Source organism: Homo sapiens, chromosome 13 (genome assembly GCF_000001405.40).
Source record: "Homo sapiens chromosome 13, GRCh38.p14 Primary Assembly".
In the NCBI taxonomy this organism is placed as follows: Eukaryota; Metazoa; Chordata; class Mammalia; order Primates; family Hominidae; genus Homo; species Homo sapiens.
Genome location: NC_000013.11, coordinates 93,809,899 through 93,827,704, shown reverse-complemented (window position 1 = coordinate 93,827,704; position 17,806 = coordinate 93,809,899). Strand labels below are relative to the sequence as shown.

Genomic DNA, 17,806 nt, shown 5'->3' with positions numbered 1-17,806 from the left:
TTAGATTCCAAGCTTACATTGTTGTCTAAGAGTATGCCATTGTCTCAAAAGTTTTCTATTAACTTCACTGATCCTCAAAGTCAAGTTATTATTATTTCTTGTTAAAAATCATTACATGGTTTACTGATCTCATAGTCAAAGTTAATATTTGGTATTGAAAGACGCTAATGTATCAGCCAATTATGACAAATGTTGCTACCTCAAGGCACATTGATCTAAGATCTTATGAATAATGGAGATCCAAGGTACTGAGGCAAAGCTAATGTCCTCCCAAAATAAGGGTACTCATTTCATTTTCACCATGACTGTAGACATCCACCTTTTGAAATCTGACTCTTTGAACTAATTACTTTATGCTTGGATGAAAATTGTTTCTCAGCAAACCAAACAAGATGGAGATTTAGAAGACAGTTATGTGATCCATTTTACTGATGAAGTATCATGTGCAAGCAACATCAGAGAGAACAAAATTCAAGGACAATATAAGAAAAAGCAATCTCAACTGAACTCTTTTTAATGGAAGAGGACAAAGCACACATTGGATAAAGTCTTCAGTCAACAAAAATTTTTATCTGCAAAAAACAGTTTGGCAGAAAGAAATGCTATTTGATTTTTTCTTCTTCCTCAATCACAAAATATACATCAAAGTTGGTTGCTCAGGGCTCAGTTACGCTTCATAGGTGCACAAAAAACCTTTCCTAGCCAGCATTAGCCTCTGGGAAGATTTTATTCATCTAGAGGGGAGATCTCAATGCAAACATCTGTTTGCTTCAGGGCAGATTGTCTCAAGTGGGAGAACAGTCTTGTAGATAAAAACCACCACTGTTGCAAAAGCAAAAAGAAGGTCTGTGTGATGTGGCCTGATCACTTGGAGAGACCTCTTAAGGGGCAGAAACCAACCCCAAGGAGCCAAGAGGTGCCCTAAGGATAACTGAGAAAGGCTCCAAATGAAGCCTCCAAATAAGTGGACTGAAAGGTAAGATGGCACACCGGGACAAGGGGAAGCACAGAAAAAGGAAAAAGGCAGACAAGAGGCTCTCTACAGTCTACATCACACAGCAAAAGCTTTTCCCATTCAACTCAGAAATGTCTTGTTAACACTACATAGATAAACATGTTCTGTGCTGGATTAGGTACAGGATTGGATTAAGTACTATATAACATCCTTTTCCTATTTTTTTTCATGCTCTCAGAGACATTTCCTATTAAAAACTTGCTTAAAATGAATGTTACAGCATGGTGGTGTGAATCTATATCCTTTCGGAACCCAAGGAGTGAAAAGCTTTGGTCATTAGTCAGTCGAGATTATAGCACTTGTCCTACTGTGGGAAGCAGGTATGCTGTTTCCTTCCTTAAACCCAGAAATACACACATGTGTATGCAATTGTGTATGTTTGTGTAGTTATCTGCTAATCTCTTTGTTTCTACTCTCCCTCAACAACAGTATGATAAATCAGTTTGGTCAGCCCAGCCAAGCTGTGGGTAAGGAATGCTCCATAGGAGGGGCTGACATGGAGGATAAACTGGTTCTGAAAGCTGACATCCGGCCGGGTGCAGTGGCTCATGCCTGTAATCTCAGCACTTTGGGAGGCCGAGGTGGGCAGATCACCTGAGGTCAGGAGTTCGAGACCAGCCTGGACAAACTGGTGAAACCCCGTCTCTACTAAAAATACAAAATTAGCCAGGCATGGTGGTGGGCACCTGTAGTCCCAGCTACTCAGGAGGCTGAGGCAGGAGAATCACTTGAACCCAGGAAGCGGAGGTTGCAATGAGCTGAGATCCTACTGCTGCACTTCAGCCTGGGGGACAGAGCAAGATCCATCTCAAAAAAAAAAAAAAAAAAAGAAAATAATAAAATAAAAAATAAAAGATGAAAGCTGACATCCTATAAGGGTTATGATCCATAGACACTCAATAAACTTACCAGCCTGTCTTCCCTCCTGCCTTTCTCAAGGTGAAATGAGGAGTAGTCTTTCTCATTCCACACACATGTGTCAGCTTTCAGATATATCTTTGAGATCATTTCTCCTTTCAAAAGGCATCTTGCTTATGTAACAGCCTGATATAATCTGCAGGAAAATGCTGAGTTAATGAGGAGCGTTAATGAAGGGAGACCCACAGTGCCATTTATCCTCTTCTGCATTAGACTGTGAGGGAGGGAAAACATGGTCCCAAATGGCCTATCTCTTCCCACTTCCCAGAGGCTGGGACCTTGAAAGTAAGTAGAGTAAAGATGGACATTGCTCAGGACGTCTGTCCTTGCCACATGAGGCGGTGTCCTTTGCAAGCTGCAGCTTGTGTGCTATTGAGCAGTAGATGACCCTAGTCTATCTCAGGTGTCAACTTCAGCACTGTGCTCATTTTGAGCTGGATAATTCTTTCTTTGGGCAGGGGTTTGGGGAGCACTGTGCTGTATATTGTAAATTATTAAGTAGTATGCCTGGCCTCTACCTTTTAGATGCCAGTGGCACATCCTTCTCTGAGTAGTCACAACCAAAATGTCATCAAACATTATCAAATGTCCTCTTGGGGACAAGACCACTCTCACTCCCTTCCTTACCCCCACCTGCTGAGAGCCACCCTTCTACTGATAGATTCCAAGGTCTACTAATAGAACATTAAAAATATTCAGAGAAAACGCCAGCCTATTTCTAAACCACATCTCATCAACCCCATGATTTGTTTGTAATACAAATTTGAGGTGCTGTGTCTTAAATGGAAGGAATTGAAATACAGATTGTATTCACAGTAAGATTCTCGGTAGTCAATACTCCCATTTCCATGTATGGTGCCTGTTACATGATAGTGCCTTAAAAAGTGGTGAATAGTGAATGAATGAATAGATCGATGGATGAACATGACCATCCAGTGAAATACATCCTGACTCCTTTGGTTCTGGACTTCTCTTTGATAGTGATGATTTTGTGGGCCCGCCTCAGAGAAAGAAAGATCCCACAAACCACATCTTAGAACAGGACATAACTGATTTGCCCTCTTGTCATCTTGCAAATTCTTATACATTTATACACATATAAATATTCATGTATAACCCCCCATGCTCCAAGTTCATGTGTACCTACGCATATAATATTGTGCCTTTGTTTAAAAAAAAAAAAGTTGGCTATCAATATCGCTCTGCCAGAGCTTGACTTTCTCTCCAAACTCTGCCTGTCCTGAGCCATTCTTTGCGTGGCTTAATGATTGCTTCTGCTGTTCTGTCCCTGCTGGGACATGACTTCATAGTGCATTATCTCACCAAGCTGATTGCACTCACATTCACTCACATACTACATTTAAGCAATGCCCAGCATGCTACATTAGAGTTAATTCCCAAACCACTTTTGAGTCTCACACATTGCAGTCTCACACATAAAGCCTTCTTCCACTCAATAAGTCATCTGCTGTATTGAATAAACTCACATTGAGGCTTTGCTCAAGTATTGTTTTTAATATGCAAGACTATGGCATCCTTTATTTCCTCACTCATACAGTTTTTTTAAAAAGCAATTATATAAGGGAAAAAGGAAAAGAACTATTTCCAATAGATATTACATTGTCTCAGTATTTTTTTCTTAAACATCACTTGCATTTTTTGGTGTAAAAAGCAGATTCTTTGAATGTATTTTTTAGATTTTGAGGTTGAAATTATATAAAGATTTTTTTAAATTACAGTTTATTTTAAAAGGGAGAAATAAAAATCTATGATTATTAAAAGACAATATTGCTTTAAGCAATAATTCCTTTGGGATTTGCCACTTCTGCATCTCATAATTCACACTTTCCTTTGCTCTGAATGTGTGTAGGTGTATGTTTTTATAAATTAAGTTTATTATAAGTATTATTATTTACTCAACTAATTATTCCTAGGACTTAACAAAAGCTTATGTAATTTCAAAGTGATCTCATAGTAGGAATCCACATCTTTCCTGTTTGAGAGGTTATTAGAACCAAATTTTTAACCCTCAAGTAAATGTCCCTCCCCTCCATATACACAAACTAATTAAAAATGCCAGTAATATGGCAATAGAACATCTTCATCATTTCCATTTGTCTTCGTCATATTTTAGGAGAAAAGTAAAGATACCAAACTTTAACTGGAGACAAAAGTGGATTTGAAACAGTGAATGATGCTAATTTCAAGTAAAAGTAAAGATAGTACCTAAGATGTTGCCTGACTTCTAACGGGCATCAGATATTTTATTACAGGCTTTACTTACTTGCAAGGCAATCAGTTATTAGTTTATCTAGTTTGCAGATAGGAAAGCTGAGGCTCAAAATGTTAAGTGAGTTGCCCTAGATCAATAGAACCAGAATGCAACCCAGAGATCCAAAACGATGATAGACAAGAAACAGTTCTAGGAAAGAACAAGACAGCAGGATGGCTTTGTAGTCTATCCTAAGTCAAATTTTCAGACCATGATATGAATAATTAATGGGAAGCATTATAAACTCTTAGGACAGTGGATAAATTCATATTTATATAATATAAATTGCAAAATGCATTCTAAAGTCATACCTAAATTATTTATAAAAGTAATTTTCGGCCAGGCATGGTGGCTCATGCCTGTAATCCCAGCACTTTGAAAGGCCATGGCAGGCGGATCATGAGGCCAGGAGATCGAGACCGTCCTGGCTAACACGGTGAAACCCTGTCTCTACTAAAAATACAAAAAATTAGCCAGGCATAGTGGCAGGCACCCATAGTCCTGGCTCCTCAGGAGGCTGAAGCAAGAGAATTGCTTGAACCCAGGAGGCAGAGGTTGCAGGCAGCCAAGGTCGTGCCACTGCACTCCAGCCTGGGTGACAGAGCGAGACTCCATCTCAAAGAAAATAATAATAATAATAATAAAATAATAATAATAATAATAATAATAAAGAAAATGTGGCACTTATACACCATGGAATACTATGGATCCATAAAAAAGGATGAGTTCATGTTCTTTGCAGGACATGAATGAAGCTGGAAACCATCATTCTCAGCAAACTAACACAAGAGCAGAAAACCAAACACTGCATGTTCACACTCATAAGTGGGAGTTGTACAATGAGAACACATGGACACAGGGAGAGGAACATCACACACTGGGGCTTGTTGGGGGGTGGGGGTCTAGGGGAGGGATAGCATTAGGAGAAATACCTAATGTAGGTGATGGGTTGATGGGTGCAGGAAACCACCATGGTACATGTATACCTATGTAACAAACGTGCATATTCTGCACATGTACCTCAGAATGTAAAGTGTAATAAAATAATAATAATAATTTTCATGTGTGATTATTGTCCCCTTAATATTAAGTAGTTAATGCAGATAACCGAGCCTGGAGAGCATGCTCAAACCTCTGGGATTGGTATATTTTCCTAAAAGCGGGGGCTTCTGCTAGAAGAAAATCAAACACAGAACCTGGGATTATCACTACAGTGTATAGAACAGTGACTGGCTTACAAAAGGATAGTTAAAATGTTTGGCCAAAATGGTGCCTCATTTTATGATATTTGTACACATAGAAAATATTGTGTAAATCATAATTAATTCACAATATGTATATACATACATGTATATATGAAATGTGTATATTTATATATACAGACAATATTGTGTAAATCATTTTATGTATATCATATTATGTATTTTATGCAAAATATTATGTACTTTATGTATATCATGTGTATACATATTATGTATATATGTATATACATATAACAATTATACATATACGTGACTACATTCACATATCCCTGACAAATTACATAGAAATCATATTTTCATGTTAGATAATATGCTTAAATATATAATTCAGTTGTAAGTCTTAACATTTTGTTAAAATTCTCTATAATAGTTATCCTTTAAGGAAATGAGTGTCCTTAAAATAAGAGCTATTAATGTTATTTGTTTCAACCAAGGAGACTCACAGACAGGGGGGCCCTGACTTTGTTCAGCAATCTCAATGGAAAGACAAGTTAGAGAAACTGAGGAAGAACAAAAAAAGCTGATCACATAGTACATCTACTGTGAGATGTGACTGTCCAAATATAATACAGAAAAGATATGTTTCCACTTCCAAAATGGAGTTCTAATAAAGGATGTTATTTACAGTTGAGTACTGTGGTTGCAAATGATTATAATTGCAACACTTAAAAATCCCAATGTCCTAAATTTGTACTTCTCGAGGTACATTTGACCAGCCCAGGAAGAGACTGTGCGCCTGAACTGTGCATCCCAGGCCCCTGGAGAGGTTCAGCACCCAGGACAATGCTTCTAGTACTGAACGTCCCCAGCAGACAATCTGCTTACCTTTCCTATATGAGTATTTTCCAGGCCTATTTCCTCTTCAGGACCCTCATCCCTATAACATTATTAAATAGCTTGAAAACAAGTGTTTCAGAGAACATACTTTACGAAATACCGTAACAGTTTCAAGAAGGGGTTGCTTCTAGTCAGCAACCTATTTTAAGTCCTGTGAGCTAAGAATGGTTTTCACATTTTTCTGTTTGAATACAAAGAAAAAAACCAACAACAAAAGATGATATATCACAGAGACTTTATGTGGTATAAAATGACAAAAGTATTTAATATCTAGTCCTTTACCAAAAAATTTTGCCAATCCTTAGCATGGCAGGTCAAAATCTTAAGTGAGACATTCAAAGATAAATTAATTCAACAAAACATATCATGCCTTTAAATTCTTGTAGTCAGGAAGACAGTTTAATTATTAGTCTGCCAACTCTCTCATAAACAGTAGAATAAAAGTTCCTTTTCTTTCAGTATTTTCATATGTTAAAATGTGCTCTGAAAACTCCACAATGCACTCATCTCTTTATATTCCTTTGCACGGTAGCTAAAATCTAAAAGTAACTCCCTCAATCATGTAAATGATTTGGAGGATTCAGGTGAATTTAGTGATTTTAAAGTGAGACACTCCTAAATTTTTCTAAGGCTGTAGTCTAATGAGTCCCAGGAGACTTAAAAAAATCTCACAGTAACTCTGACATTTAAAAGAGTATAGAGATGAAAAAGAAGAATAAAAAAAAAAAACCCTACTTTGATACTGGGTTAAGAAAAACTATTGTTATTACAATTTCCTTTTTTTTTTAACTTTCCATTCATGACAATTAATAAAAATAGAAATTTAAACTATCTTTTAACATCTTACAAAAACTATCAAAGGCCCTGCAACAAAATATAATGTTCATCACAAAACAAGGAGAATTATTTTCAGAAAATCATAAGTATATTGGCTGTTAAAAATACTGTAACACATAATTCAAAAATGTTCACAATATTTAATCCAAGGATCACTTTGTATTATATTACTCTCAATGTGTATTGGAAACTCTTAAACATTATAAATTAAATTTACTTAAATTATATATAAGTAGAAACAAGAGTTCTAGGGCAATACTCCTATTCAGTAAGTCAAGTAAATCAAGAATATAATAATGTATTTTAATGCATTATTCAGGACAATTGTACATCACCAGTTTATGTTTTTCCAATGTGTCTAATTTAATAAACTTTTCCATGAAGAAATTTTTAATGAAAAGTCATCAGTATACAACCATGAATGTTCATTAAAAATAATCAATACCTTGCACCAAAGTACTTCAATTTAATTCCACTACAGTCAGCTGAAGAGACTAAATGCTGGATTTTTCAGAATCAAGTGTGTAATTCAGTTGCAAAAATGAAAGTTTCCTGAAAAGCAGCACTATGTAATTGGTTGATATAGGGAGATTTGAAGCAATAAAGCAGTTTGTAGAAATGCTGACTTGAATCCACATTTCACAAGGTTAAACTTTTTCTATTCTTAGTGATCCTTTACACATTAGATTGATAAATGTTTTATTTCTTGGTAGGTTATTTCTCCCAAAGATATCTTTTAAAGTAAGAAAGACTGATTAGGCCATTTATGTTCTCATGGTGGTATAGATAAACTATTAATTCCCAGAATCATGAATTAAGTCTGAAATGTGCTGATGGTTGCTGCTAAAAGCAAACAACTGCTTTGAGCCTATGGACTGCATTTCTATCTCACCCTAAGCTCTGAATATAAAATTAAAAGCTGAGATGCTTTCGCAGTTGACTTTCATCATTGCAGTTTCCTAGCACTGGCCTAAAGAAAATGGCCTCTGGGCCTGGCCCGCAAATCTGCTTCCATTTTTCTTTCAGAAATGACATTAACCAGAGTGTGGGATGCCTGTTTAACCCTTTATGCACCTAAAGTATATAACTGTATTAACAGTAACTTAAAATCATTCCCAGCTTTTTTTTTCTCAACTGTAAGAGGCAATTAGGTTTCCAAATCATGATGGTAGTATTAACAATATATATTAACCTGTTCACAAACCCAGTTCTTTCCCCAGCTCCCGTTCCTTCTTCACCTAAACATTTGTTGGACTAGCAGATGGAAAAACTCCAAGAACAAACCACCAAGGATCAAATCTGGGATGTGGACCCAAAGCTAGTTTTTTGCTAAAAGCCAGTGATAAGGACCTGGGGCTATTGGAACAAAAGATTGTGTAGGCTCTAAGGAGACTAAAGAGGAACAGTCAAATGGAGTGTACTTTTTCCTTCTTCTTCACACAGTTCAGTGGTTTTCAACCCAGGGTGCCCATTAAAATCACTTTTAAAAATCTTTATGCCCAGGCTGCATTCATTTTCTCTGGGAGTGGGATCCAGGTACCAGTATATCTTGTATACTTGTATATCTTGTATACTGATCTCCCCAGGTGATCCCAGTGTGCAGCCAAGATTGAGAATCACTGCAGCTCTTCGTTCTCCAACACTTTCATTTTAGTTGATGTATGATTGTGGTTCCATGGGCAGTGGAAGGAGAAATGGGGATGGAGCCATATTATACATCATGAAAACTCCCAATTCTATTCTTTCCTTCATTTCCTTTCCCTTCTCTTTACTCCCTGTAGACAGCCAGTATTCGCATCTTGAGAAGAGAGAGTTTCATTGATGAAAGAGTATCAACAGTATGTGAGGAACACTAGCAGTGCTTCTGAGGACAAGACTGTGCTGGTATCTTTTCCTTTCTCCTCCATTTCTTTCCCATTTATCAGCACCCAGCACTCTCTCTCAACTCTCCCTCTGCTTACATCAATTACAGGACAATGGGCTTGTCCCACGATGCGGGAAGGATGGGTATACCATGGGAAGAGGAAAGAACAGGGCTTGATACTCCTCCAGCTAATTAATGACCAGGGGAAAAGGAATGCCAGTCACGGCCCACCTAGGGTGCATTTAAGCACATAACATAGACAACAAAAACTGAAGGTATTGAGAAATGCTGAGTTGTAAAAGCATAATTATATATAAAAATTTTGTGAAAATATTACATCTTAATTGAAAGCTAAGTTTTTAGGTTATATCTTTCTGGTCCATCAAAAACTGGCAATACTGAAAAATGTGAAAATTCACAGAATAAAAAAATTTACCTTGTTCCACAGATGTCTAAATAAGAGCAAATGTAAGTAGAACATTATGAGAGTTTAAAAAAAGAAATTGAAAAGTAATATTTTTGTATATTCTACTATATCCTACCTTCATTTCTGAGTTGTTTTAAACTATGTGTGTGTGTATATATAAATTATTATATATAATATATACATATAATAAATATATATGATTTATATTAACATATAAAATTATATATACTGTATAATTAAATACATCTATAATATATAAGTATATAATTTATGTTTTTATTTTATATATACTTATATATTTATGTATTATATATATAGGTATAACTAATAAATTATATCTATAATAGATATTATAGGTATAATTTTTATAAATTTATATCTATCTATCTATCTATCTATCTATACATTATTTTTTGAAACAGGGTCTCACTCTGTCACCCAGGCTGAAGTGCAGCGGCACCATCTCGGCTCTGCAACCTTCCCCTCCAGGGGCTCCCAGGATCCTCCCACTTCAGCCTCCTGGGTAGCTGGGACTACAGGTGCACGCCACCACACTGGGCTAATTTTTGTATTTTTTGCAGAGATGGTGTTTTGCCATGTTGCCCAGGCTGATCTGGAACTCCTGAGCTCAAGCCATCTACCTACCTCGGTCTCTCAGAGTGCTAGGATTACAGGCGTGAGCCACTGCACCCAGTCTAAACTACTTATATTTTTTAAAATATAAGTTTTAACTTCTTTGATATTTATTAGCAAAGTCTTTTTTAAATAAATAGTGACATGAAAGATGCTTCAGTAGAAAATAACACTAATAAAAGGAAATAGTTCAATTACAAAGGTAAGGTCAAAGATTTGTGTACAAAGATATCCATCCCATTATTATTTATATGAGCTAAAATGAAAAAGGATTTGAAAATCTCACAAGAAGGATAAATCTACACTGCAAAATACTGTTACGTTTATAATTATTTTTAAAGAATATTTAAAAGCTAACACCAAATACTATCAGTCAGCTACTATTCCAAGGGATTCTTATATTAACTGATTTCATGTTGTCAACAGTCCTATGAGGTAGTTATTATTATCATCAACGTCTTACATTTAGGGAAACAGAGGCACAGCAAATTTAAGTAACTTCCAAGGTGATGGAGCTGGGATTCCAAATCCAGGCAGCCTTCCTCCAGGTTTAGTGCCTACAGTGATAGACCCAGATTCTATGAGGATTGATGCTGATGCAATTTACAGGACTCCCTTTAACAAATATTCTACACAATTGTGAGTAGGCACAATTAGGTACAGAGGCTTCGAAAGGGTCTATTAATGGGAAGGTACCTGAAACATAAGCTTCACCAGATTCAAATGAAATCCACTTTTAATACAAAATATAATACCGTAATAGTATGCTAAGATAGAAACAAAAGACATGAAAGTATATATCCAGTACAATCTCAGTTTTGTAAATAATTTGTGAATATGCCTATTAAGAAAAATCAAAATATATAATAACGATTTACAATTGGTTGAAGAATATAGTTTGTGTTTTTTTTTCCTCTGTACATTGTCTAATTTTCCAAAATTAACATTTGAGGAAACCGAGGCATGGAAAATTTAAGTAGATGGCTATAAATTATTTTCATAGTTGAAAAAAAAACAAATATTATTTTAACTTAAAAGACCTAAAAGTATAGGAAGTATTTTGTCTAATAATTCTACCATGGAGAATCCAAGAATCAAGCTGAAAAAAAAAAAAGCATAAAGAGGGCAGAAGGTAAACAAGTAATTTACTCAAAATCACAGAATGTAACAACAACGTAGCATGGAATAGAATTTGGGTCTCTTCACTCTAAATATAGTGAATTAATGCTGATTAGTAAAAAGGGTTTAATAAACAAAAGAAGAAAGTAGTAGTCTCTAAAGCACAGCGTGCTGTCTATAAAATAATAGTCCCCAGGATGGTTAGGTAATTATTAATTGATAATATGATCATCTGCAGTTTTGGTATTGTAATGAATGCTTTTTAAAATATAGATAATTTCCATCTATTTCTTGGCAGAGAAAGGATTTCCCAAATTGATGTAATCAGGAGACAATAAAATTTCATTGTTCATTATTATAGATATCAGACCAAACTAAAGAAAAAAAATCAATCTTAGATTTAAATGACTGTATGAATTGAAAGTCATTGCTCATTTTCTCTACAGAGCCTTTGGTGGGGATTTGATGAATAAGATGATAAACTGTGTAATTCTATAAATGTTTCTACAAACAATTTGAAAACAATAACCAAAGTAAAGGAAGTTAAGACACCTTTTACCACCTTTGCTCCTTACCATACACTTGGTTCTTATTGATGTCAGGAGTTAGAGATGGCTCAGCTCCCCAAGCCATGTCTTAGAAATCATTTTAGTCTTTAAATCTATCAACAGGAAAAAATATCAGGCTCATGTGGCATCACAGATGTCTTCATTCAAAGGTAATGAATATACTTTTGATGAATAAACAAACAATAGATATCCTGATGTAGTTACATAATGAGACAAAGTATTATTGTGTAAGAACTAAATGAAAATGAATAAATTTAATGTCAACCTAATTTGCTTAACATTGATTAAATTTATTTTGTCAGTTATTCACAGGATACTTCTCAAAGAAAAATGTCAAATTCATTAATCTCATGTTCTTGGAAGGCTATTTTACTTTCATAACATTGTCATTTGGAATGCAAGAAACAAAAAACAATCATCTTTAATCATTTGATAAAGTATCAATTAGTGACTGCCAGTACCTATTTGAAATTGTACAGGGTTGAATGTATGCAGGTCATTTTTCATCATGTTAAAATTATATTAAATTCTAGATAAGAATATGCTTACTTTGATACAGTTACATATTTTACAAATTTCAAATTGTTTATATTTCAATTTTTGAATTATATGGATCATTCACAAAAGTCTCCCCAAAAGGACATTCAGTTCAGAATTCAGTAATTTTCAAAAATAATTATTCATGCCACAGGCTTATTATTTCACACTTTAGTGGATGTTTTATATTTTTTGTTGTTATTAGTTGTATGTTATATAGTGATATAATATCATTCTTATTTTTTTCCTCTGATGTGTGTCATAAAAGCCACCCATCAGCAATCAGCATTGTTTACAAGAAGGTATCTGAATATTAAAAATTGGTAATTTCTGCAAAATATAGCCTTAATACAGCTCTGCTTTCAGGGAGGGAACTTATTTAAAAATCTCAGCAAAGCTTTGCCCAAACAGCAGTCTTTTGTTTTTTGGTTTTGTTTTGTTCTCTTTTAAATACCTTGACCTGGGAATAGGTAGCTTCTGTTGTAAACGTGACTCCCTCTGTGCCCATCTCTCCCCTCTGTTTTTGAACTGCTGATGGTAATGAATCTCCCTCTTCCAGCGCCAACTGCTGCATTCAGTTATCATCAAGAGCAGACATCAACCAGCACTCTAATCTTGCTCTGATGGATAGAATACTAACCTTTCACAAGATTAGAGACACAAGGTGCTGTGGAGATAATAAAATTCAAATAGGTTTATTTCAAAGGGCAACCCAATCTCGCTTTTGTTCATGGGTCACTTGACAGATCATTTGCCAAAGTAGTTTTTGTATCTTTCCAAGCCAGGTTCTGGTTCAGTGTGCCAAAGATGTCAAATTAAGTGGGTCCCCAAAGCCCCAAAGCCTACAGTTCCAAAGTACAAACAGGAAAAGTTGGGAATAACACTATTTTATTTCATGTGAAAAAACTCTATTGGCCAATAATTTTAATTTTGCTTAAGTCATACCTAATGTACTCAAGAGACAAATCAAGGCTGACCATGTTGAAAATACCAATGATTTAGCATAACTGCTGGTATTGTGATCCTTAAATATAAATTTCAAAAGATTAGAGATTTTATTACAAATAAATATCTAATGAAAATAAAAATCAATAATTAAAACATGCTTTTAAAAACACTTTGTGGATATCTGCTTAACATTTTTCTAGAAATATGTCAAGTAATATTTGTTAATGGCATAAATCTAGAATAAGCGCTGTATAAATAAGAAGTGAAGGACCAGGAATAAAAGCAATTCCTCAAATAGCAATGAGTAATCCTCAACAAAAGTTTCCATGTATTTCTCCTGTCCACTATCTTCTCATTATTTAAAATTACCTTCTGCCACATATGAGCCTGCAGATACCTCCTAATAAGAAAATGGAAAAGAAAAACCAAAAGCAGTTACATGTTAAGAAGACACCTAGAATGTGTTAGTCACCAATAAGATACCACTGGCAAAACTATTGTAAGAGTAAGAGATAAAACATTAAAATCTAAAGAACATTAATAATTATATACCACTGCACACAATATTGATGATACATATATGATCTTTATATTTAATTTTGTTTCTTAAATGATTAAGGCTCTTTTTGCAAGGTAGTATAAAAGTTTTGCTCATTTTTTAAAAAAAAATACACTTGATAAACTATATTATCTTATAAAGTGAGAAAATTAAATTTATATATGATACATATATAAATTGTAAAAAGTTATTTAACATCTGAAAAATCCTTCATTAAAAGATAACTTTGTGGTTACCAATACTTTATTTATTTTAAATATCATGGTCATCCCATTTTCCTCAAGATATTCTTAAATCAATAACAATTAATTATCCTTACTATTTTTTACTAATTAAATAAGGCTTTTAAAATAAAACAATTATAATCAATTGTATCTTTAAGATAAAATGTTTAGCAGGGTTCTTTTGCTATTTCATTTCAATATCGCAGCTGGAAAAACATCTAAAGCAAATTCTTATTATAAATAAATATGAGATTACATTATCCCCAGAAGTTATGCAAAGTTCTCTCACCCAGGCTGGAGTACAGTGGCATGATCTCGGCTCACTGCAACCTCCACCTCCAAGTTCAAGCGATTCTCCTGCCTCAGGCTCCTGAGTAGCTGTGGGATTACATCCACCTGCCACCATGCTCTGCTAATTTTTGTATTTTTAGTAGAGACGGGGGTTTCACCAAGTTGATCAGGCTGGTCTCGAACTCCTGACCTTATGAATCATTCCATTTTTTTCATTTATCTGGTAATATACATTTTATGAGGTTAAAATTATTATATTTTACTGAGATACAGAAACTACCAAACTATATACTACTTTCCCTGTGCAGGGGAAATGTCAGCTCACAGTAGTTCTAAATATCTAAAGCAGTCCTGTAGAAGAGGAGAGATGGATGCCCAAACACAGCCTCTGAATACGATTATTTACATATCACAACATAAGTGGAATGATGCATTATTGACAATTAGTGACAATCCTTATTCTCTTGGCTTTATCAAAAGTTGAGAGACAGGCATATACCAGTACTCTTGACCTAAGTTTTCTCATCTCTAAAATGCAAATAATAATAGTCCCTTCCTGATAGAGTGTTATGAGAATGACATGATATACATGAAGCAATTAGGAGAGTGTGTGGCACAGCACATAGTAAGCACTATATAATTACCAATTATTATTAGTTTCTCAAGAACGAAACACTTGCTAATAACAAACACCCTTGGTCATTATTATCCATTTAAAATTTATCTTGGCATATAAAAAATGAACACTACTTTTCTCAGGATATCAGTCAAATGGGGTCTTCTGAAGGTATCTTTATTAAGAGAAGTGAAAAAATTGCATTTGGCAACAAAAGCAGGTGGAATGTGTTAGTTATGTGATATCCTTGATTAGAAAAATAATTTAAGGGAAATTAAACATATTCTTGTAAAACCTGTATATCCTTCACTCAATTTTGAGTTGATCAACCACCTTCCCCTATATGTGGGCTAGTGTGTAATTATCAGATCTCCTTCTTTTTTTTTTTTCCGAGACAGAGTCTTGCTCTGTCACCCAGGCTGGAGTGCAGTGGCACGACCTCGGCTCACTGCAACCTCCGCCTCCCAGTTTCAAGCAAATCTGCCTCAGCCTCCCAAGTAGCTGGGACTATGGGCACCTGCCACCACACCGAGCTAATTTTTGTATTTTTAGTAGAGACAGGGTTTCACCATGTTGGCCAGTCTGGTCTTGAACTCCCGACCTCGTGATCCACCCACCCCCCGCCCCCCCCCCCACCGCCTTGCACTCCCAAAGTGCTGGGATTACAGGCGTGAGCCAACGTACCCAGCCCAGATCTCCCTCTTTATGGTCTTTCAGTGACTGAGACCTAAATATAACACCACTTCACTGAATATATAAAATGGCTTTCCCTTCTCAGTAATCAAATGACATTGTTGATATACGTTGGTGCCAAGGTCAGCTGAGATATGCCTCATGTCTTTCTCTTATAACAGTAAGTGTGGCTGCAGGGTAGGGATGCAATATGAGGCAGGGAAAGTAGTTGATACTGATGTGCACAGAGCAGCTTTATTTTCACATTTTGCATGTATGGGATTTAATAAGTTTCTTTTTGTTTCCTTACACATATTTTTTAGCATTAATCACACAGCAATTCCTTCCCAATTAATTTAGATCATAATTTTAATTAGTCAAATTCACTTTGCATTCTCAATCTTCTTTTCAGAAATTCTGGCAAAGAGGCTCTAACAAAGCTGACTCTGCCTCAATCCCCATGAATACGCTTTGCATTCTCTCATGAAACCATTTGTTAGGGGGAAAAAAAAAAATCCGATCCACAGTCAAGCTTGTGGGGAATGTCTACGTAAGCCAAGCCTTGTCCTCACACTATTTACTGACCAAATCTAAGAACATTTTCTTAACCAGTTCAATAGCTACCTGATTATGATACTACCCAAGCCATTTTCTGCAAGCTTGTCAATGACCAGTCCATGTGAAATAGCATTGACAATGATGCAGATATCAAACTGGGCTGTAACCAGTGGATCTTTCAGTCTATAAGATCAATCACTCTGTCAAAGAGGGAAATTAGTTTTGTTGGGCATGGCTTGTTTTTGAGCAGTCCATGTTCCCTGTCACTTTGTCACACTCTGGGTGCTTGCAAATTGATTGTGGAATAAATTGCTCCTGACTCTTTTCAAGAACAGGCCTTAACCTTTTAAGTAATTAATTGCCAGATATTTACTTCATTTTCCTTCTGTACCATCATCTGGGGTGACTGTCCTTTCCCCAGTTTCCTGAATCTGTGCCCATCCACCATAAATCTGCAAATTCACTTAAATGAATACAAGGTAATTTGATGTTGCATTTGATGTGGCATTAAGTGCTACACAATTGTTGACTTCAAAGTCAAATACATAAATCACTGCTCATGGAAAGAGGAAACATTTCTTCTGAAATGGTTTGAATACGACCATGCAGTCAGGTTCAGATATGTGAAGATAAAACAACATTAAGCAAACTGGTTATCAGTTTCTTATCAAAACTATGTAAGTAAGAAAGAAAATATACATATGTATCTACATAAGATGAATAAAAACTTAAAGCAAATCCTGGCTTTTGTTACATATCCTGCTGTGATATTTTGCAGATCCAGGCATCAGCTAATGTTTTCCCCAAGAGCAAAATATTCCACAATACTTAATATTGCACACTTGGCTTTAGACTTTGGGCATTAATTTTGAATTTCTTTACTTTTAAGAGGTGAATCAGATCTATCAGAATTCTTTAATGCCCTTTTTTTGTCATTCATTTAATTACGGGCCATAGCCTGAAAGGTAGCACAATGACAATTTATCAACTAGTTTAGCTCTCCCACAAGAAAATGTCATCCCTTTCATCTGAATTTCAAAGCAGCCATATGGTCAATGGGCCTCCTAAAAAACAAACAATAGTCACCTTCGAACAAAAGCAACTTTAAAGCCAGGACTGAAACCATTTCAAGTCTATTTCCAGTCATCACATGCTTGAACCTCTATTATCTCATTTGGGTTTGTGCAGAAATCTAAGACGACCTACAACACAACAATGGGGACAGCTCCATTTCATTTAGAAAAGTGATAGAAAGGTGGCCAGATGAGAATATAGTGAAACGGACTCAATGTAGCTATTGAATCTTGAATGCTTTCCAAATCGTCTGAAGCTGTTTCTACAACAAAGTTCTTTTTCTTTCTTAAGACAAAATTAGACATGTCCTGTGAGTGTCAGCTGAGCCTAAACAGAGATTCAGAATTAAATTGTGCCTGATTAAAACACTGGTGGGCCACCAGCCTGAGACAATATGCGTAGGGAAGGAGGGGTTGGGGGAGCTTTCTTTAAGAACAAAGTTTTTTGGATGGGTGTCTGAGAAAAGCAAGGAACTCAGAGACCAGTTTAGTGTCTATGCCGAGTCCTTCCCCATGGAAGAGATCTGAGGTCAAGGAAGAGCAAGGAATGTAAATTAAAGTTGAGCAGTTCTTAT

At 35.5% G+C, this 17,806-nt stretch overlaps 1 protein-coding gene and 1 long non-coding RNA gene across 4 annotated transcripts in view, besides 1 other annotated feature; one reads left to right on the top strand and one right to left on the bottom strand.

The window, feature by feature from the left end:
- Nucleotides 1-9,281, top strand: part of GPC6-AS2 (GPC6 antisense RNA 2) — a 40,050-nt gene extending 30,769 nt beyond the window's left edge. The window contains exons 6-7 of the long non-coding RNA NR_046536.1: nucleotides 8,923-9,025; nucleotides 9,114-9,281. This is a non-coding gene — a long non-coding RNA (GPC6 antisense RNA 2). The remainder of the gene's footprint in view (nucleotides 1-8,922; nucleotides 9,026-9,113) is intronic.
- The window catches only part of GPC6 (glypican 6), a 1,191,492-nt gene that overhangs the window by 580,316 nt on the left and 593,370 nt on the right, over nucleotides 1-17,806 (bottom strand). The gene's annotated exons all lie outside the window — the stretch shown is intronic.
- Nucleotides 8,956-9,457: an enhancer, noted in NCBI's record as "NANOG hESC enhancer chr13:94470501-94471002 (GRCh37/hg19 assembly coordinates)". NCBI's record gives its function as "activates a minimal SCP1, AML or CMV promoter by ChIP-STARR-seq in naive H9 embryonic stem cells {active_cell/tissue: H9 hESC(naive)}" and the evidence as "EXISTENCE:reporter gene assay evidence [ECO:0000049][PMID:30033119]".